The following is a 22,470-nucleotide window of genomic DNA, read 5'->3' as shown; positions in this document are numbered from 1 at the left end:
TGTGAAAGACCCTGTTATAAGGTTGAAAAGATAAAAGAGAGACTGGAAGAACATATTTGCAGACCACATATCCAATAAAGAACTAGTTTCTAGTACATATAAAGAACTCACAAAATTCAACAGCTAAAAAAAAAAGAAATCTGGCTGGGCGCGGTGGCTCACACCTGTAATCCCAGCACTTTGGGAGGCCGAGGTGCGTAGATCACGAGGTCAGGAGATTGAGACCATCCTGGCTAACACGGGGTAAAACCCCGTCTCTACTAAAAATACAAAAAAATTAGCTGGGCGTGGTGGCAGGCGCCTGTAGTCCCCAGCTACTCGGGAGGCTGAGGCAGGAGAATGGCTTGAACCCGGGAGGCGGAGCTTGCAGTGAGCCGAGATGGTGCCACTGCACTCCAGCCTGGTGATAGAGTGAGACTCCGTCTCAAAAAAAAAAAACAAAAAAAAACAAAACAGGCCAGGCACAGTGGCTCACACCCATAATCTCAGCACTTTGGGAGGCCAGGATGGAAGGATGGCTTCAGCCCAGGAACATAGTGAGCACCTGTCTCTACAAAAAAATTTAAAAAATTAACCAGGCATGGTGGCGCATGGCTGTAGTCCCAGCAACTTTGGAGGCTGAGGCAGGAGGATCGTTTGAGGCCAGGAGTTTGAGGCTGCACTGAGCCATGATCATGCCATTGCACTCCAGCCTGTGTTACAGAGTGTGACGCTGTCTCTAAAAATAAAAAATTAAATTAAAAAATTTAAAAATATGAAATATATTTCACCCTTTATATTGACTTTAATTTCTATTTTGAAGAAAAATTATTTTAAAATTATATTTGAATATCATTAATTTTTTTAACCTTTGAGAAGAATTACAAATTTCAAAGTGATAAAAATGAGAAAATACTAAAGTAGAACTTGGGGGAAGCTGGGAAGAAAAAATAAAATTCACCACACAAAATTCACCCATTACTGATTAAAAAAAAGATGAAAATGAGTAAGAAAATTATTGTCATTAGATCGACAAGCTACCAGGTCATCTGAAATCCCTGACACTTGATCTCCTTTACTAGAATATTTAATTATATCAGAATATTGTGAATAAACAGATGGCCCCCGCTGCACTCTTGCCCCAAGCCTTGCAAATATGAGGGGCACGCCTGCTTCCTGCTTCCTGCTCCCTCCTTGTGATCTGACAGCACTCCTGAATAGGAGAACACAGTTATAAATACCTACATCCAGAATCTAACTCTGTTTTACAGAGAAACACAAAGCAGTTTCACACAGCATTGCTATTATACACTGAATTTTCTAGGAATGCAACTATCATGTAACTTAAGGAAAGACAGTACTTTGCTTTATTCAAAATGTTTACCCTGAGCTGTCAACATTTCAAAGTCACTGATGTCAACACGCCTGGTATTTGAATTCTCAACACTGCACCCATGAGTCAGTCTCATTTGTAGCATTCAAGCTTAAGGCAGCAATCTCCACTAATGTACAAGCATCTGTCTTCTAGTGGAGTCAGGCTCCAGCACTTACACACTGATATGTCACTTCATTAGAAATTATTTGCCTTTTATTTCTTCTCTACATTATAGGTACAGCATTATATTGATTTTTTTCAGTAATGTATATGGACTGGTGAATTTCATTTTAGGATATTAAAGGGCACATTACAGAATCGTCATCATTTAAAAGGGTAACTGGACTACTAAGTTGAGGCCTCTGCCATGAGCAGCTTCAGAAGGCCTGCTAGTGTTCCCTTCTCCTTGCCTGCATGCACAGAAGGCCACACAAGGGAAACAGCCATGGCCAGCTGATAAGAACAGGGGCCATCATGCAAGCAGAAGGGGAGGACAAGGCCACCTTCCAACAGGCACTAAAGTAACAATGAGAACAACAAAAACAAAATACATAGAAAAGAAAAAAATGGCAAAATTGCACTTCAGGCTTTAATGCCCTCCTTACTTTCACCCCAGATAATGCAAAAATTTTTCCTCTTCCTTCGACAGAGCGTAAATGATATGACCTGGCTGGGCGCTGTGGCTTACGCCTATAATCCCATCACTTTGAGAGCCTGAGGCAAGAGGACTGCTGGAGCCCAGGAGCTCCAGGCTACAGTGAGCTATGGTCACGCCACTACACTTCAGCCTGGGCAAAAGAGTGAGAGTCTGTCTCAAAAAAAAAAAAAAAAAAAAAAAGATGACCTGATAACCACACATTCTCCAGTAGTATCCCTCTCAATTTCTGATTTTTGGACCAATACTAGCTTCCCTCTGTAAAGATAGGTGATCACAGAAAACTCTCTAGATCTATCTGGAAAGCTCTGGCAGATCATAAAAGGGGGAGCAGCTGAGGATTCCAAGTAAATATGCACCTATGAAACAAAGTTACTGGTAGAAATGGGAGATTTCAAAAAAATCTGCAATTTGCATTCTCATTTGAAATTCAAGATTTGATAGCTATGAAAGTTGAGCAAGAAGTCATGAAGAAATAATTTGAAAGCACAGAAATCAGACTAAAGATTAAAAACATAATAGTTGAAGAAAAGAAACATACAAAGCAAAGCACATTAGATGATAAACTTTGAAAAATCAGAGCATGAATGAAAGTGATCACAAGAATCAGAGATAACATATGTGACATGGAAGAAATACCCAGGAGACCAAATACACACATACTTTAATTTCCTGGAGGAGACTCCAGGGTAAAAAGAGAAGCAATAATCAAAGTAATAACAGCATGCCTAGAAGGCATTTAATAAAAGCCATGACCAAATCCTAATAACTCAAAGGAATATAGGAGGAGAAGACTTAACATGTAAAACAAAGCCCCAAGCCAACTTTCTGCATCATATTTAATCAGAAAACACCAAAATCACCCACAGTAAAGTGAGAGCAAGTCAAGATGTCACTAGCATTTAACACAACTGGGGTCACACATGCACAAAACAGCAAGAACCAGAAATAAAAGAATAACTCCTGGAATGGAGGAGACAAAAGGCATTGTTATCTGCAGCTGATATGACTGTCTGCTTGGAAGACACCTGAGAATCAACTGAAAACCATTAGTGCTAAGAAGAGAGGATGGTAAGGGAGCGAGCCAGTTCCAAACTAAATATTTTTTAAAGTATCTAATTAGAAAATATAGTCAGTGACAGTGCTAATACCAAAACTGGAATGATGCAGAGAAGATTAGCATGGTTCCTGTGTAAGGATGACATTCAAAGTCGTGAAATAGTCCATATGTTAGAAAATAAGAACAAAGTACAATGAATAAAGAATCCCATTCACAATAGGAATAAAAGTATAAAACAAAGGCATAAACTCAACAAAAAGGAAGGAAGGAATGAAGGGAGAGAAGAAGAGAGGAAGGGAGGGAAGGCATAAACAAAGGTATAAACTCAACAAAAAGGAAAGGAGGAGAGGAGAGCAGGGAAGGAGGGAGAAAGGAAATAGCAAACTTCAGGGGAAGAGCCCAAATAAAAGGAAGAGAGGACATGGAGAACTGGAGAGACAGCCAGGACCTGGATGGAAAGAGTTGGCAAAGATGTCAGTATTCTTCGGGGAGGTGCAGGGAGAGCTCCCCACTGTCTATACCACAGGCACCCAGGGAGGACCCAGGAGAGCTGCCATCCCCAAACCAGCACTGCACCTTGTGCCAACAGAGAAAGTCACAGAAAACCCTTGGCCCCACTCCAAAGCCCTGACTAAATCATGTACTCCCGGGAAACGCAGGGCCACGACACCACCATGTGTGTCCTCAAGCTTAGAATTCAGCACCTTAACTAGTGCAGAGTTCATAACATCCTCACAACTGGGTTTACCTCAGACACCACCAGAAGCTGAAAGCCAGTCTGGTCCATCCATGTATGATGGATAAACAAAGTGTGGCTATCCAGACGATCGAATATTATTCAGCCTTTAAAAGGAAGGAAACTCTGACACATGTCCCATTGTGGATGAACCTGAAGGATACTATGCTAAGGGAAATAAGCCAGTCCCAAAAGGATACTGTATGATCTCACTTGGATGCAGAATCTCAAACAGTCAAACTCACAGAAACAGAAAGTTGAGTGGTGGCTGCCAAGGGCTGCAGACAGTGCGACAGGGAGTCGTTCAGTGGGTACAGATGCGTAAGCTTGAGGGACCTGCTATGCAGCATTGCCCCTGAATTACATGCTTAAAAATGTGTTCAGAGGGTAGATCTCCTACCACAATGTGAAAATGAATTAAATGTAGAATAAAATAGAAGAAAATGAAAATACAGACAGTTCCGAACTTATGATGGTGTGACTTACCCTTTTTGACCTTAAGGTGATGCAAACATGACGCGCATTCAGTAGAAGCTGTACTTCAAGTGCCCAGACAACCATTCTGCTTTTCACTTCCAGTAAATTAGGTTGATGGAAAAGTAACTGCAATTTTTTTGTTTTGTTTTGTTTTTGTTTTTGTTTTTTGAGATGGAGTCTCGCTCTGTCGCCCAGGCTGGAGTGCAGTGGCGCGATCTCGGCTCACTGCAAGCTCCGCCTCCCGGGTTCACGCCATTCTCCTGCCTCAGCCTCCCGAGTAGCTGGAACTACAGGCGCCCACCACCATGCCTGGCTGATTTTTTGTATTTTTAGTAGAGACGGGGTTTTACCGTGTTAGTCAGGATGGTCTCCATCTCCTGACCTCGTGATCCGCCCACCTCGGCCTCCCAAAGTGCTGGGATTACAGGCATGAGCCACCGCGCCTGGCCTGCAATTTTTAAAATGGCAAAAATCACAATTACTTTTTTGCACCAATCTAATACAATAAATTATGTAAGATATTCAACACTTTATTATAAAATAGGCTCTGTGTTAGATGATTTTGCCCAAATGTAGGCTCATATGAGTGTTCTGAGCCTGTTTAAAGCAGGCTGGGCTCAGCTATGATGTTCGGAAGGTTAAGTGCATTAAATGTGTTTTCAACTTAGCATATTTGCAGCTTATGATGAGTTTATCTGGAAGTAACCGATGAAGTAAGTGGAGGAGCATCTATACCGAATCTGAAATTTTTTTTATCACAAAATATACTCATTGATAAATGACCTCTCTAAAATTATGAAAACAAGAACAAACTCATTCCTGGCATTCTGTGATTTTCCAGGTTCTCATCTCCAAAGCGATTCAGCCCCACCTGCCCCAGGCCCCTCCCTTGAGTCCCCAACACTTCTTCAGGGCCCTTCAGAACTCACAGTGAAATCAACATTTCCCATAGGCTGAGCTCTCTGAATGTCCCCTCACTTCCACAGCTGGATGAATCCCACCACTGCCTTCCCAAGGCCAGTCTGTTCATTTTCTCACATTTCCCAAACTGAAGGTCTCGCTGTACCTCATACCTATGACTGTTGCTTCCCCCCGTCTGTTCCCCTCCCCACTGTAAACAGACACCTTCCATTTCTGCAGTTCACACAGCAGGACCTGGCATCCTCTTCCCCTCCCTGTTGCCATCTACACATCCCCACCCCATTCTCCCCATTCCCTGACATCCCTGGCTCATGGCCCTCCTCCTTCTGTGGCATCCAAGAAACTGACCCACCCACCTTCCGGCCTCTCAACTCCAAAACTTCCAACATCCCCTTCCTCCACTCTCACCCCAGCAAGCCAACCCATCCATGGTTTTCTTTCAGCCCCTGTTTCCTAATCTGCAAGTCCTGGTACCAATATTTATATCCCATGGACTTGGACAGTCTGCTTAATCTCTTTATGCCTCAGTCTCCTGATCTATAAAATGGGAATGATAATAAGGATACTATTTCATAGGGCTGTAGTAAAGACTAAAGGAGACCATATTCATCGCACACTGAGAACAGTGGTTAGCACATAGTGAGCAAAGAATGCTAGTCACCGGTAATAGTAATTCTACAACAGGTAAAGATGATGAGGGAAGAAAACAAGTCTCCCTACCTGAGACAAACAGAGTAGCAGAAAAAAGAACTCTGGAGTCGGACCTGGGTTTGAATTTGGGAACACTACCTATCCTGGAGCTTTCGCTTCTTCACATGTCAGATGGGGATAAGAATACTTACCTTCCATGTTAGACGAGTTCCCCTCCTCATGTCAGAGAGGACAGAGTTATTCCCTCCTCATGTCAGAGAGGACAGGTGTCTCAGGTTGGAGCCTCAGGCATTACCTGGTTGTGATGCAGGTAACTGGGAGCATGCAGGGGTCCAGGTATCAGCGAGGACACTGACAGTTTCTTGGCAGTGAGCCAATCACGACTGCTTGCCCTTACTGATCACCATCTGAGATGTCTGAGATTCTGCAAGCATCAGAGTTTGGCCACAGTAAAACTAGCCCTTCACATTTATTTTGCCTTTTAGAAAACACTGATATCAGTTTAAAATAGTGACATGTCTTTGGATCCCACGTGTGCTATATAAAGAAACATCTAAATGGGCACTTCCATGTCTCGTGGTTTTAAAAATGTTTTAAATGTGGCTACATGAACCTCCTTCTAGCCGACTGCTGTCTCCAGAAGAGATCCACGTTCACTCCTCATCCCTTGGGAAGGCCCATCAGATTTCATCTCACTCATCCCACTGCTAACATGAGCAGAAATCTTACCCTACACCAACTTTACAATCCATCAGGAGAATCCAGCAATCCCACTTCCAGGTATATACCCTCAAAAAGTCAAAGCAGTGTCTCAAGGAGATATCTGTACACCTGTGTACAGAGCAGCATTATTCACAATAGCCAAAAGGTAGAAATAGGCCAAGGGTCCTTCAACAGGTGAATGGATAAAGAAGATACGGTATATCCAGACAAGGAAATATTATTTAGCCTCAAAAACGAAGGAAATTCTGACACATGCTACAGTGTGGATGTACCTTGAGGATATTATGCTGAGTGAAATAAGCCGGTTGCAAAAGGACAAACACTGTGTGATGCCACTCCTATGAGGAACTGAGAGCAGTCAGATTCAGAGACAAAGAACAGAATGGTGCTTGCCGGGAGCTGAGGGAAGGGGAATGGGAAGCGAGTGTTTAATGGGGACAGAGTTTCACTTTGAGAAGATGAAACAGTTCTGGAAATGGAAGGTGGTGATGGTTGTACAACAATGTGAATGAACTTAATGCCGCTGAACTGTACACTTAAAAATGATTATGTGTATTTTTCCACAATTCAAAAACCAGGAAAGTTGAGAGCCAGCTGGCTCTCCCCTTCAGAATATATCCAGACGCAGCTGCTGTTCCCCGGTGCCATGGCTGCCAGCCCAGCCCAGGTCACTTCTTTCCTAGACCACAGCCCTAGCCTCCAAGCTGGTCTGCTTACCCCATCTGTCCACTCTCAACAAGCAGCCCAAAGCAGTCCTTTTAAAATGAGGTTGGGTCATATCACTGCTCTGTGCAAAACCTTGCAAAAGTTCCCCAGTGGAGTCAAGAGTAAAAAATCCAAAGTCCTGACAGTGACTCGCAAGCTCCCCCATCTTTCTATCCTCCTCCCCAACTGCTTGTTCACTCTGCTGCGGCCCCACTGGTCTTCCTGCCACTCCCTTGACGTGGGGGACACGGGCCAGCCGTCATCTCTGCCTGGAATGTCCACCACTCCAGCTGTTCACCTGGCTTTCTCATCTCTCCCACGTCTTGCTCATGTACCTTTATGAAGGCAGGGATGTTTGTCCTGCTCACTCATATAGTCCTTTTGCCTAGAACAGTGCCAGGCACATGGTAGCCACTCAAAGATATTTGTTGAATTAATCAATAAATACAAGCATTGTTTCTAAAGTCAGAAACATTTGTCAGAACCAGAACTTGTAGCAGAGGAGAAGGTGGGTGCTTTTGACAAGGCTGCCACCTAGTGGCTGGATTCCTTGACAGCCTTCTGGGGGTTCCACAACCTTTCACTTGACCCTGGGGCAGGCAGGGAGGACCCTGCACACAAGGAACCTCCTCATTCTCTAAAAGCCACACCACTGTGTAACATGAGATACACACAAAGGACACCTCAGGGAGAAAAAGAATAATAAGAACTGGAATCCAGGCCAGGCGCAGTGGCTCATGTCTGTAATCCCAGCACTTTGGGAGGCCAAGGCAGGAGGAGCCCAGGAGTTCAAGACCAGCCTGGGCAACATGGCGAGACCCCGGTGGTGTGCACCTGTAGTCCCAGCTACTCGAGAGCTGGGGCAGGAGGATTGCTTGAGCCCAGAAGTTGGAGGCTGCAATGAGCTATGATTGCACCACTGCACTCCAGCCTGGACAACAGAGCAAAACTCCGTCTATAGAAAAAACAACAACAACAAAAAAAAGAATTCAGAATTCTTTTTTGGAATTCAGATAAGTGAATAATATTAATGAAATAAAACCAATTAGAAAAAGTGGATGTTCCATATGGAAACCTGTGGTGGGCACGGGAGAGAAAAAGTAAAACTGGTTTGACCTTTCCAAAGCCAAGGTTCCTGGTCTAGATAAAATAACCATGCTCTTCCTATGGCTATTGTGAGCATGAATAGAGACAGCAGCTCAGAGAAGCCGGCACAGTGCAGGCAGGTGGCAGGGCTCAAAAATAGAAGCCCCTTTTGTGATTTTTGCTGTGTTCTTGCTATTGTTGGAGCAAACTTTGGCATAGCCCCAGAGAACAGCATAAGGCCTGGAAACCAGAAACTGGAAATAGTCTTGAAAAGAATGAGGAAGCTCATGCCTCCCCATTCAAGCAGTTCCAATACCACCCATGACAGATGGCAAGTTGGCGCCCTAGGCAAGGCTGAGACAATAATATAATTATTACGACCAAAAGATTACATGATTTCTCCTGGAGTAGATTTCAGGGATTCTCCCTGAGGACAGATCAGCTCCCAGGAAAGGGTGCAATAAAATATAGGCTGACTATAGATTTAATTCTTGTAAGTTCAAAATCACAACACTGTATTAAAATTTCATGACAAAAATCTTTCTCAAAATTAATACAATTGAAATAAAATATAGATAATACCATGCTATGCATCGTAGAAAACTTGTCCCCAAGTCAAAAGTACAAAAACTAAGTCTTGCATGGCATAAAAAGAATTCTGCCCCCTACAAGTCTAATATATAGTTGATTTCCTGTGAAAAGAAATTTCCTCTGAAAGGAAATCAACTATATATTGCCAGAAGTCCCCCAATTTCCTTTAATTTTATTCTTTTCCTTCACAGCTGAGCCTATAGAAAATTGGTTTAAGTCCAGTGAACATCTAATTTCTAACACACTAAATAATTTCCATCTTTGTATCAACTGTATTTTTTTTTTGAGACTGAGTCTCACTGTGTTGCCCAGGCTCGAGTGCAGTGGCACAATCTCGGCTCACTGCAGCCTCCACCTCCCAGGTTCAAGAGATTCTTCTGCCTCAGCCTCCCAAGTAGCTGGGATTACAGGCACCCGCCACAACACTTGGCTAATTTTTTTCTATTTTTAGTAAAGAAGGGGTTTCGCCATGTTGGCCAGGCTGGTCTCCAAATATCTCAGGTGATCCGCCTGCCTCGGCCTCCCAGAGTGCTGGGATTACAGGCATAAGCCACCCCACCCGGCAGTACTGAGATTTTAAAACCCAAGCTTATTACTACAGGGTGAGTATCCCTTATCCAAAATGCTCAGGACCATAAGTGTTCTGGATTTCTGATTTTTTATTTTGGAATATTTGCATTATACTTACCAGTTCAGCATCTCTAATCCAAAAATCCAAAATCCAAAATGCCCCAGTGAGCATTTCCTTTGAGCATCATGTCAGTGCTCAAAACATTTCAGATTTTGAAGCATTTGGGATTTTGAATTTTTGGATTTGGGATGTTCAGCCTGTACAACTAGTTGCTGTAATCCCAACCAGCACTTTCATTTTCCTCGTTTTCACGCATGTAAAATAGACAAAATGCAATCAAATATTGAAATGATTACCGAAACAATACTATACAACTGTAGAGGTGATAACACCTGCAACAGACAGGCACTGCATACCACTGCTCCTAATGGTCTGTCCTAATAGACTGGTATTCACCTATTCCAAATGAGGCAGTCTGGGGACAGCATGACAATGTACAAAAGTATCAGCTGTCCAAAGGTGCTACAAAAATGTTGAGGACTACTGACATTTAAAAATAAAAGCTCTTGGCTGGGTGTGGTGGCTCACGCCTGTAATCCCAGCACTTTGGGAGGCTGAGGCAGGTGGATCACCTGAGGTTGGGAGTTCAAGACCAGCCTGACCAACATGGAGAAACCCGATCTCAACTAAAAGTACAACATTAGCTGGGCGTGGTGGCGCAAGCCTGTAATCCCAGCTACTCAGGAGGCTGAGGCAGGAGAATCACTTGAACTCAGGAGGCGGAGGTTGTGGAGCGCCATGGCACTCCAGCCTGGGCAACAAGAGCGAAACTCCGTCTCAAAAAATAAAATAAATTTAAAAAAATAAAAGCTTCAGAAACAAAATGTAATTTTCAAATTCAACCCTATTAACTCAAATAATTTAATTTCACTTAAATGAAGTAACTGACAAACAATTTGTATAACTAGGAGAATAATAACTGTCACTTACTTTTCATTACAGTCTATATAAATTATTCACAGACCTTTTTCCCAACATCACTGTATAGTAGATATGTAGTTATTTCCTTCCTTTGACAAATAAAGGATGCCAATGCCCCTTGGGGCATGGGAACTTGTCTACTTTAGGAGCCAATATGAAACCAAGGTCTTTTCCTAGAATCCTGTGCAAAGGAGCAGATGCTATAAGCAAACAATAAAAAAAAATCCACCAACAAATGGCTAAAGAACACTACAAAAGGCAAGTAGAAGAGGAAGGATTTTGTGAAGGCAAAAAAAAGTTTAGTTTATATTTATATTGTCTAAATTTATGTTGTATTTACCTTGTTTTTAATTTTGTATAGCAATGTATGCATATGTTTAAAATGTTCAAACAGCACAGGAAAATCTAAAATGAAAAAATTTTCCTCTGCCACTATCAATTCTGCTAACTCTCCTCAAAGATAATCATTCTGACATCCTTCCAGGAAAAAAAAGTTGATTTTAATAATTAATATATACTTCTAAAACCAAAACCAAATTAAGGTTATACCATATGCACCATATTATTTTCCCCACTTAGTAATGTATATTGGAAATCTTTCCCTATCAGTACACACAAATCTACTGTATTCATTTTCATGCCTGTATACTATTCTACTGCACCAAAATCACATTGTTCAACCAGCCCTGTATGAATACATACTTAGGTTGTTTCCCATATTATACTATTATAAATAATCATGCAACTGAACTTGCTCATACATGTTGGCATCCTTTTCCAAGAATATCAGTAACCGTTAAGTGCTAAATAATAGAAATGCTTGGTGAAAGATTAAATTAAGATTTAGATAGATATTACCAACTTGTCCTTGTGCATCAACCATATGTGGCTCTTTACACCCTTAATGACACCAGAAATGATAAACTGTTTTAATTTTTGCTAATGTATTAGCGGAAATTATATATCTAATTGTTGTTTTGCTTTATTTATTTATTTATTTATTATTTATTTATTGTGAGACAGGGTCTCACTGTTGCCCAGGCCGGAGTGCAGTGGCATGATTTCAGTTCACTGCAACCTTCACTTCCCAGGTTCAAGTGATCCTCCCACCTCTGTCTCCCAACTAGCTGGGACTACAGGTGCACGCTTCCATGCTTGGCTAATTTTTGTATTTTTTGTACAGACAGGGTTTCACCATTTTGCCCAGATTGGTCTCGAACTCCTGGGCTCAAGCAATCAGCCCGCCTCAGCTTCCCAAGGTGCTAGGATTACAGGCGTTGAGCCACCGCACCCAGCCTTGCTTTACATTTCTTAAGTAAGGCTTAGTATCTTTCCACTAGCCATCTGTATTTTTCATGGGCGCTATATATATTTCTATTATATTATTTTTCCTTTTCTTTTTTTTTTTTTTTTTTGAGACAATCATCCCACCTCAGCCTCCCAAGCAGCTGGGACTACAGGCACGCACCCAGCTAATTTTTATTTATTTATTTTTGTAGAGATGAGGTCTCACTATGTTGCCCAGGCTGGTCTTCAACTCCTGGGCTCAAGCAATCCTCCCACTTTGGCCTCCCAAATTGCTGGGATTATAGGCATGAGCCACCACATCTGGCCTATTTTTCTTTTTCTTATTGATTTGTATAAACTCTTTGTAAATAAGCATTTTGTTACATGTATTGCAAATAATTTCTTCTTTTTGCAAAGAAGTTTCTTATATTTATGTAAGTACATTTTTCATCTTTTCCTTTATGGCTTCTGTGTCTGTTCCTACTTAGAAAGGTTCTTCCAAGGCCAAGACTACAAATTAATTCTCTGATGCTTTCTCTTTGTAGTCTTGCAGTTTCATTTTTTAATATTTAAATCTTTAATCCTCCTAGAATTTATTTTGATGGGAGGAATGAGATAGGGATCCAGCTTTATTCCTTCCTAAATACTTACTCGGTCACATTTTTGAGTGAATTATCCACCGTGATATGAAATGCCACCTTTCCCCTGTACTAAATCTTCCAGTGTATTCTGCACTTTGTCCACCGTTCCACTGAGCTGCCTAGCACCTCTTCAGTTCCAGAATGCCTAAGGTTAATCCCCTGATTAGTATTGTCAGAATTTTCCTGGTTACTCTAGAATATTTATTCTGCTAGGTCAGGATTTCTCAGCAGCAGTACTGTTGACATTTTTGGGCAGGACACTCTCCACTGCAGGGACGGTCCTGCGCATCCTAGGATGTTTAGTATCTCTGGCTTCTACCCACTAGATGGCAGTAGCAGCCCCGAGTCATGACAGCCAAAAAAAAAAAAAAAAAAAAAAAAAAAAAAGTCTCCAGACACTGCCAATTGTTCCCTGGGTTGGAACTGGGGGACAAAATCGTCCCCCATTGAGAACAACGGGTTTTAGATAAATTCCAGTTATTTTATTCAGGTTTCCACTCCCAAATTCCCACTGAATCAAGATGAAAAGGAATTCTTAGAATAATTCAGACATCCTTATTACATTTTATATCTTGTACTAAGTTTAATCTTAATTCTATTTAATCTTCCTAAGAATCACATATATGCTTTCACTTATTTATGTCTTCTTTGAAGGACATAAGACTTCTCCTTCAAAAGAGTTTTAAGATTTTTTTTATAGATGCTCACACTATTTCTAAATATTTTGCCCTTTCATTCCTTTATAAATAGAACTGTTTCTTACATTATTATCTTTTCTAGTCACTGGTAAGAAAGCTACTGATGGCCGGTCATGGTGGCTCATGCCTGTAATTCCAGCACTTTGGGAGGCCAAGGTGGGTGGATCACGAGGTCAGGAGATCGAGACCATCCTGGCTAACATGGTGAAACCCCATCTCTACTAAAAATACAAAAAATTAGCTGGGCGTGGTGGCGGGCACCTGTAGTCCCAAGCTACTCGGGAGGCTGAGGCAGGAGAATGGCGTGAAACTGGGAGGCGGAGCTTGCCGTGAGCCAAGATCGCGCCACTGCACTCCAGCCTGGGCGACAGACCGAGACTCCATCTCAAAAAAATAAATAAATAAAATAAATAAAAAAGAAAGTTATTGATATATTATAGTCTACAACTAGCCACATACAGAACTCTTATTGTCTCTAATAGAATTTCAGAAAATTCTAAGACAATTTTCAGGAAATTCAAAGCATACAATGTTATTATCTGATTACAATCATCATTTTGTTCCCTCATTTCCAATATTTATGTACTTCTACATCTCTCTTATCTTACTGCCTTGGTTAGTATCTACCGAAAATTTTAGATGACTGGTGATAGTAAGCAACCTTGAATTATCTTTGACTTTAATGGGAATCGCTGGCTTTTGTTTGTGACACATACACATCATTAAAGAAGTCTCTGCACATGTATAGTCTATCAAGAGTTTGTTGTTAGAAAGATTGTTAATTGTGTCACATGTATGTTCTGTATCTATAGAGATAACTACAGTTTTTCTTCTTTGGCCTGTTAATATGGTATGATAGATTATATTCCAAAATTTCTTAATATTCATCCATTCTTGGGTGGCATAAATTCACTTAGTTGTGATGTACACTACTGTTCTTTTAATTTATTGTTGAATCCTATGCACTAATATTTTGATCTCCAATTTTTTTTATTTTTATTTATTTATTTATTTATTTATTTGAGACAGTCTTGCTTTGTCACTCAGGCTGGAGTGTAGTTGCACGATCTCGGCTCACTGCAACCTCCACCTCCCGGGTTCAAGTGATTCTCCTGCCTCAGCCTCCTGAGTAGCTGGGATTACAGGCACCCGCCACCGCGCCCAGCTAATGTTTGTATTTTTAGTAGAGATGGGTTTTCACCATGTTGGCCAGGCTAGTCTTGATCTCCTGACCTCATGATCCACCCACCTTGGCCTCCCAAAGTGCTGGGATTACAGGTGTGAGCCACCGTGCCCGGCTGATCTCAAATTTTTATATTAATATTTGATCATGGGATCAGTCTTTTTTTTTCCTTTTCCACACTTTACATCATTTATTAATGCAGTATACATTAGATCTAAAATCTGCAGTTTCTAAACACACCATGTTATATCTTTCGGATCCTTCTGCAGTTTTAGGTTATTTCTACAGAGGTACCTTTAAGTGAGTGAATAACACATTCTATAATTCCTGAAAATATAGTACAAAGTGAAATGATTTAAATATAATTTAGGCAAATGTTGATTATGAAAATAGATAATCTCTCAATACAATACTTCTCTGTCTTGGTAAAAATAATAAAGCAAAGAAAATAATTCATTTCTGAAGTTGCTTTCCTTCACTTGTAAAGGTCTGATCTTCTCCCACTATGCATATGTGCCCTTTACTGTCAAAGAAAGCTTTGCATATGTAGATATAGAAGAATACACTACATAAATACTAAAGATGAGTCATTCTCCCAAAGGAGACAAAAGTGGTTTTCAATGATTCCTTGCCTCATGTTGATGAGTCTGTAGAATTCAGAACCCTGTGGACACAGCTAACATCCCTGCTCTTGGGGTAGATGTAAGGACACCAGGTCATTGGTAGGGAGATACAGGCCCTTCCTCTACTGTTGCAGAGAGAAAATGACTCAAGAAAAACAGGCTAAATTTCACTAAAAAAAAAAACAAAAAAAAAAACAGGCTGGGCGCCATGACTCACGCCTGTAATCTCAGCACTTTGGGAGGCTAAGGCAGGTGGATCACAAGGTCAGTAGATCAAGACCATCCTGGCTAACATGGTGAAACCCTGTCTCTACTAAAAATACAAAAATTAGCTGGGCGTGGTGGTGTGCACCTGTAGTCCCAGCTACTCGAGAGGCTGAGGCAGGAGAATCGCTTGAACCCAGGAGGCGGAGGTTGCAGTGAGCCAAGATTGCGCCACTGCACTCCAGCCTGGCGACAGACTGATACTCTGTCTCAAAAAAACAAAAACAAAAACAAAAAGTAAAAAATGTAAGTAAAAGAATCATAGGTGCTGACTGATTGGTGTTACATCTTGGACCAGCCAAATGCCTTTATTTTTACTTTCTTTATATATACTTTTTTGGTGGCTGTAATCAAATATATGTTTAAAATTCCTCATTCCCCACTGTAGGGTTCTAGCAGCAATTATATTACATTGCCTTTTAACAGGCAACTCTACCATATTCATTCATATTGTGTAAGCTTTGATTGCAGTAGATCTGGATTTAATATCTATTTCTAAGATGGCCCTATGTAAAACTATTTGGTATTTGAATTAAATGAATATTAATGGTGCACCTTGGTTTTTTGGTTTTGAAGTATCTTCCTATGCTTGTGCTGATTGTATGAGAAAACTAGGCTAATAGTGTGAATAGACAGAATTGCTTGGTCTGGTGTTGAGTGGAACTTGCCTAGAATGACATTCTGAGAAATGCTCATTTATAAGTGTTGTAGTGATAGGTAAGTTCTTCCTCCATCCGGAGTTCCACTGTACCTTTGGAATGACAGTGATGTACAACGATGTCTTTCTTTCCACTCTGTCTCAATCAGTAAGAACTGGATATTACTGTAATTTAGCTACTGTTTTGTTCTAAAAAGTAAACATTATAAAAATGAACCTGAAGAGTCTTAGGGAGTCTGATCTTACCATATTCATATGCTGTGACAAGTATTTAAAGAAGGAGGCATCACTAAAGCTATTTATAAACCTGAACAACCTTTTCCAAGTTTTCGTAAAGTTTTTACAATTTAAATATCCATACTGCATCTAGTATTCAATAAATATAAATTGCATATGTTGTGCTTTCCATAAATTAAAATCCTCAAATGCATCTCAAACCAAGATGGTATTTCCACATCATGCCTATTTAAAAGCAAATGTAATAGATACTATTCCTGGTCATAAAACCAGGTAAACCCCCCTACCCTGTTCAAAAGGCAGCAATATCTAGTTTCCCTATATCTATTAAATGAGTGCTTTTCTGTTAAAAATCAGAATATGGAAAAAAAAGTCAATTTTTTCCCTTATGCACCACTGAGAACAAGCATAATCCTCTAAATTTTTTTTTAACTTCCTTACAGTGTTATTTCTTCTAGACAACTGAGCGGGTGGAGAAAGAAAAGTGATAAGGAAAACATTTTCATCTTGTACATGTTCCTCCAGCCCCTAAAATTCTCATCTAACACTTTGTGACATGTGTAGTGGTGTTAGCATCTCTTCAAATCTAGCTCCCTTCATGTTGGACCCTCTCAGGTTGGCTTCTTGAAGATCACACCCAGACAGATCACAATTCTCTAAATCAGTTCCTGCCAGAGTTGCTCCTCTGAGGTTACAGTTCTTCAACTTTGCATTTTTTAAGGTAGTCACTCTCAGGTTAATTCCTGTTATCTGACTTCCTTCCATATCCACACCTTTCAGGTTAGCACCTTCTAAATTGGCTTTAAGACCGGAAGGATCCTCAAAATTACACAGTTTCAGGGATGCTCCTTCTACATTAGAACAGAGTGTCTTGACTCCCTGAAGATTTGCACAGTCAAGCACTGATCCAGAGAGATCAGCTTGTTTAAGATTTGCACAGCAAAGATTTGCATGTGCAAGACTGCAGCGGCTTAAACTGGCCATTTTGAAGTTAATGTTTCAAAGGTCCAAATGAGAAAGATCAGCACCACTGAAGTTCAAACCTTGGCATCGCAGTTCTGACTTGATTGAAGTTGCCAGCAAAAATCAGACAAATTCCTTTCAGGATATTGGTGAATGATCCTCCGGTGGTTTAGAATTCTTTATTGCCATTTCTAGGTGTTCAATCAATGAGTCAATACAAAAAATCTTGCTTCTTCTAACATATCCAATAAATTAATGCCATCATGTACAATAAGCTCTCCATGACACAAGTAGTTCAAAATGGGTTCAAAGTACTCAGGACTTCGGTCAATTAAGAAAGCTCCTCTGTGATCTTGCTTATTTCCCAGACATCTTTGTCCTTAAACATGTGGGCCAGCATACTATCAGGTTCTTTATTCACTAAAGTGCTCTGTGTGGTTGTAAAGTACCGCCCCTCCAGCATTTAATGTTAGCCAGTCTATGTGGAATCCTGACAATCCCTCAGGTGGTTTAGAATCTGTCAGGATCAATAAATGGCTCTCCTTCACACACAAACAAAACATCATCATCCCTGATCAAAGCAATATCATCAATCAGTCCACCTTTGCCATTATACACACTGGTGGCTTTTATGCCAAGTTTACCACTGGCCACAGAAAGCAAATCAGATAAAGTTCCACATACAGCAACCACCTTTCCCTTCTTGGGGCTGCCGTTCAGGAACAGGGCCACCCACCTCATCGCGCTGCCCCCCCCCTGGGTCCTGAGTGAGCCACCACCCTCCCACCCGATCCTCCTCCCACCTTTTTCTCCTTCCGCCTTTCCCCTCCCTCCACCCACTGGGATTCGCCTCCTTTCGCCACCTTCCTGCTTTTGGGGACACACCACACACACGCAATTTGTCCCACACCCGGGACTCGGCTGGTCCTCATTCCCACCCTGCCCCTAGGCTCCTCCCAGTCTGTCTTTTTTTGAGTGGGGCTTTATTAACTTTTGGGATCACTGTTAGGCTGGCTTGATAAAAATAAATGGTACTTTTGTTTATTGTATTTTAAAAACCAAGTGTGTGTGTATGTTTAATACAATATCAGTATTTACAATGGTAAAGCCATTATATAGAAAAACCAGGCCATTCCCTTTATATCCAAGAAAAGAATACCTTGTATGGTTTTCACAGATTCAACTTTTTAAAAACTGATAAATTAAAATATACCTTTTGAGATCTAGCCTGAATGTGACTTTTACGAAAAGAGCACAAAAATTATAAGTGCCCCTTCAACACATTAAAAATTAGTAACGATGTATTTCAGTTATTTTTCCCGTCTTAGACAATTTAGCAATACACTGAGGGCTGCACTGTAAGAGTTAGGCCATGAAAGCTTAAGAGTTATTATCTATATGCACAAAGAGAGAATTAAATAAATTCTTTGATATTTCATGTTTCACATGCTCTGAACTCAAATATAATGATTGAAAAACCCTTTTCTGATTCTTAAAAAATGAGTAACACTGAGAAGGTTCACAGCTTCCTGTTGCCACTGCCGTCCAAGCCACTCTGAGCAGCCTTCCACAGCTGCTGGGCGAGGCTCTTCCCAGCTTTCCATAGGGTTCAGTACAAATATTAGACACCCACCTTCGCAAGGGATCAACAGGGTTCATTCATTCCTCTAATGCATTCTGTATCAAGACAGCCCCAGAACATATGCCGCCCTGCTTGGATGTCAGAAGGATTTCACACGTGCATGGTGACAAATGGACCTCCGAAGGGACCAAAGAAACCACAGCACGCCCAGTTACCTTTTGCTTCTCATCGGTCTCCCCACTCTATAGATGTAAACTCCCTGTGGGCAGCGACATCGTCTGCCTAAAACAGTTCCGGCCCAGGGTAAGTGGTCAAGAAATATTTCACGAGGGAAGGAATGGATGGGTCATGGGTCACTGAAGTGCTTCCATGCGGCCAGGACTGATGGCCTGCCGAGCCCACCTGCCCGGTCCCTCCTACCTGTGCCGCTCCTCAGGCGGCTCTCCGTGAGCTCCGAGATGGCTCCGGCAGTGGCGGTCTTCTTCAGGCGAACCACCCCCGATGCAGCGGTACTTCCTGGCTTGTTGAGCGTGTCCTCACTGCTGGCCCTCTTGAGCTGAGAGAGTTGGAAGGAAAGAGAGAGGATGAAGAGGTGGTTTTCAGGAAGGAGCGCTATAAACAAGCAGAGCATGGGAGCTGGGCTATGTGCCCAGCAGTCAAGATACAATAACAGCACTTTGAGTAGCATGATAGAGTGAAGTGAAAAAATGCAAAGCTACACAAACCTGTTTCTGTCATAACAGGTCCGAGTATGATCTCCCATGACTGTTTCAAAGAGCAGTGTCTAAGACTGTGCGTGAAGAATACCATCAGGTCACACTTCAAGTAATGAGCCTTAAAAAATGTGGCTGGGCACAGTGACTCACGACTGTAGTCCCAGAACTTTGGGAGGCTGAGGTGGGAGGACTGCTGGGCTCAGGAGTTCAAGACCAGCCTGGGCAACAGTGAGACTCTGTCTCGCTAATATTTTTTTTTAATTAGCTGGGCATGGTGACACCCAGGAGGCTGAGGTGAGAGGATTGCTTGAGCCCAGAAGTTCAAGGTTGCAGTAAGCTATGATTGTGCCATTGTACTCCAGCCTGGGTGACAAAGTGAAACCTCGTCTCTAAACAAAAATTTTAAATAAAAAATAAATCTGCTCTCCTGGTGGGGGAAAAAAAGAATGGGAACCAATGAAAAAAGAACTGGGAGATGCACAAAAGGCAGGGTAGGGCAATGCAAAAGAAATTCCAGGACAACAAAAAAAGGCTCATGACATAGGCCAGGAGGAGGTGGAGGGAGAGAAACAATCTGAGTATCTGCTGTGGCCTCACCACCAAGCATTCTGTAGATGATCTGACACAGAAAATGTGTTCAAAGGTGAGAAAGGAAATCTTGGAGGCTGGAAGACAGAAGAAAGCAGCGCCCTCTGTTCTGGCTTTGCTTTCTTCCCTGTCATGGGACAAACATTTGCTAAAAGGTGCTGAAGTCTAAGAAAGGAGACTCCTAAGTGATCCACACTTCAGGCCCAGATAGATTACATTCAACGTTAATGAGAAAAACCACAACTGAATTCTCTCAACTACTGTTGGGTCTTCATGAAAGAAGGCTCTGGAGAGGAACAGTGCCGGAAGACTGGAGAAGGCAGCTGCCCAAAGCTGTCTAATGTATCTGACATCCAGAGCACACAGTAAGGAAAAGCCCTTAAATCAATGTCGATATGCAGTGGGCGAGCCCCGCCCATCACACAGGCTGAAGGGAAAAGCCCTGCTCCATCCTACTCCACTGGCTTTGGGGTCATTTACTGAGAGTTAGAAGTTTAAATATTTGCACAATTTTTTAAAGTTTCCATCTTTGCATCATTTAAATTTCAGGGTGTAACCACCCTCACCCCACCATAGTTTGAAAGTGAATAAACACCAATACCAAGTGTTGGTGAGGCTGTGAAGCAACTGGAACACTCATGCCCTGTGAGTGGAAGTGTAAACTGGCATAACTGCTTTGGAAAGTGGCAGTATCTACTAACGCTAAGGCTGGAAAATAGAAGAAAGCAACACCCTCTGCTCTTGCTTTGCTTTCTTCCCTGTCATGAAAGGGGTAGGACAAACATTTGCTGAAAGGCAGTAAGTCGAAGAAGGGAGACTCCTAAGTGAGCACGCACAGTTCCCTGTGACTCAGCAATCCCATTCCTAGATCCGCACCCAAGAGAAGCAAGTACATAGGTCCCTCAAAAGAATGTTCATAGCACCTTTTTTATAGCAGCCCAAAACTAGAACAACCCAAATGTCCTTCAACAGAGAGGATAAATGCAATGAGAACCACACAGCAAATAGGAAAAAAATGAATTACTGATATACTAATAAATGGGTGGCTGTCCCAGGTATTATGCTAAGTGAAAGAAGCAGACACAAAAGAGTATATACTGCCTGATTCCACTTGTATTAAGTTTAAAAGCTGCACAATCAAATGATGGTAATATAAGTCAGAATAGTGGTTACCTCTCGGGGAGTTACAACCAAAAAGAAACCTTCTGGGGTGCTGGAACGTTCAACATATTGACAGGGTGGTGGTTACACAAGTGTAAAAAAATATAAACATGCAATGAGCTTTATAGCTAAGATTAAGATTAGTGTACTTTATGGATTTTATTGTAAATATGCTGTGCTTCATTAAAACAGAAAAAGAAAATTGGAGTGAAGGAAGTTTGCAATTTAGGCAAAGTCCTAGTTCCACTCCTGCAAATACTAGCCTTCTGGGTTTTTTTTTTTTCCTTTTTTTTGTAATTTTTAAAACTTTACTGTGCTAAAATAAGCATAATATAAAATTCACCATTTTAAGTGCACAATTCAGTGGTATTAAATACATTCACCATGTTGTACAACCATCACCACCATCCATCTCCAGAAATTTTTACCATCACAAATAAAGTCTACTCATTAAACAGTAACTCGCCATTGCCTTTTAACAAGAGGGATGACGGTAGAAGTCTTTTTGTTTTTTTAGAGACAAGGTCTTGCTCTGTTACACAGGCAGGAGTGTAGTAGTTCAAACATGGCTCATTGCAGCCTTGAATTCCTGGGCTTTCCTGCCTCAGCCTCCCAAGTAGCTAGGACTATAGGTGCACAACACTATGCCTGGCTAATTTTTTAAAAATATTTTTGTAGAGGTGGGATCACATGGTCGAGCGCAGTGGCTCATGCCTATAATCCTAGCACTTTGGGAGGCCAAAACGGGCAGATCACCTGAGGTCAGGAGTTTGAGACAAGCCTTGTCAACATGGTGAAACCCCATCTCTACTAAAAATACAAAAATTAGCCAGGTGAGTTCGAGATGAGCCTGGTCAACATGGTGAAACCCCATCTCTGCTAAGAATACAAAAATTAGCCAGGTGTGGTGACACATGCCTGTAATCCCAGCTACTCGGGAGGCTGAGGCAGGAGAATCGCTTGAACCCAGGAGATGGAGGTTACAGTGAGCCGAGATCGCGCCACTGCACTCTATACTGGCAAACAGTCTATCCATCTCAAAAAAAAAAAAAAAAGAAAAAAGAAAAGAAAAGAAGAGACAGGATCTCACTATGTTGCCCAGGCTGGTCTTGAACTCCTGGCCTCAAGCAATCCTCCACCTCAGCCTCCCAAATGCTGGTATTATCGGTATGAGCCACCACTCCCAGCCTGATGGTGGATGTCTTCATATTAGCCATGCAATCTTGGTCAAGATTTCAAAACAAATTATTAACTTTAAAAACAAGTAATTCACATTAAAAGGATGATTTGTGTGCAACTCCAGTTACTAGATGTCAGCATAATCACATTTTCTTTTGTTTTTCTTTTCTTTTTTTTTT

At 41.5% G+C, this 22,470-nt stretch overlaps 1 protein-coding gene and 2 pseudogenes across 26 annotated transcripts in view, besides 1 other annotated feature; 1 reads left to right on the top strand and 2 right to left on the bottom strand.

Annotated features, from left to right (window-relative positions):
* Nucleotides 1-22,470, bottom strand: part of SPECC1 (sperm antigen with calponin homology and coiled-coil domains 1) — a 309,668-nt gene that overhangs the window by 189,397 nt on the left and 97,801 nt on the right. For 24 of the 26 annotated variants that reach the window (NM_001386083.2, XM_047437065.1, XM_017025319.2 and 21 more), the window contains one exon: nucleotides 19,068-19,203. In NM_001386083.2, the coding sequence (NP_001373012.2) occupies nucleotides 19,068-19,203 (136 nt within the window). Of the gene's footprint in view, nucleotides 1-4,632; nucleotides 4,731-19,067; nucleotides 19,204-22,470 lie in introns of all 26 variants that reach the window. The other 2 variants (NM_001386078.2, NM_001386080.1) reach the window with 1 other exon arrangement.
* Nucleotides 3,142-3,242, top strand: RNU6-258P (RNA, U6 small nuclear 258, pseudogene; annotated as a pseudogene).
* Nucleotides 6,461-6,686: a silencer, noted in NCBI's record as "fragment chr17:20026257-20026482 (GRCh37/hg19 assembly coordinates)". NCBI's record gives its function as "represses an EF-1alpha promoter that drives an FKBP-Casp9 reporter gene in an ReSE screen in phorbol 12-myristate 13-acetate-treated (for megakaryocytic differentiation) K562 erythroleukemia cells {active_cell/tissue: K562(+PMA)}" and the evidence as "EXISTENCE:reporter gene assay evidence [ECO:0000049][PMID:32094911]".
* On the bottom strand, nucleotides 16,443-17,995 carry KCTD9P1 (potassium channel tetramerization domain containing 9 pseudogene 1; annotated as a pseudogene).

The sequence above is a fragment of the Homo sapiens genome, chromosome 17 (genome assembly GCF_000001405.40).
Source record: "Homo sapiens chromosome 17, GRCh38.p14 Primary Assembly".
In the NCBI taxonomy this organism is placed as follows: domain Eukaryota; kingdom Metazoa; phylum Chordata; class Mammalia; order Primates; family Hominidae; genus Homo; species Homo sapiens.
Note: the sequence above shows the minus strand (reverse complement) of the source record. Positions and strands in the feature narration are given on the sequence as shown.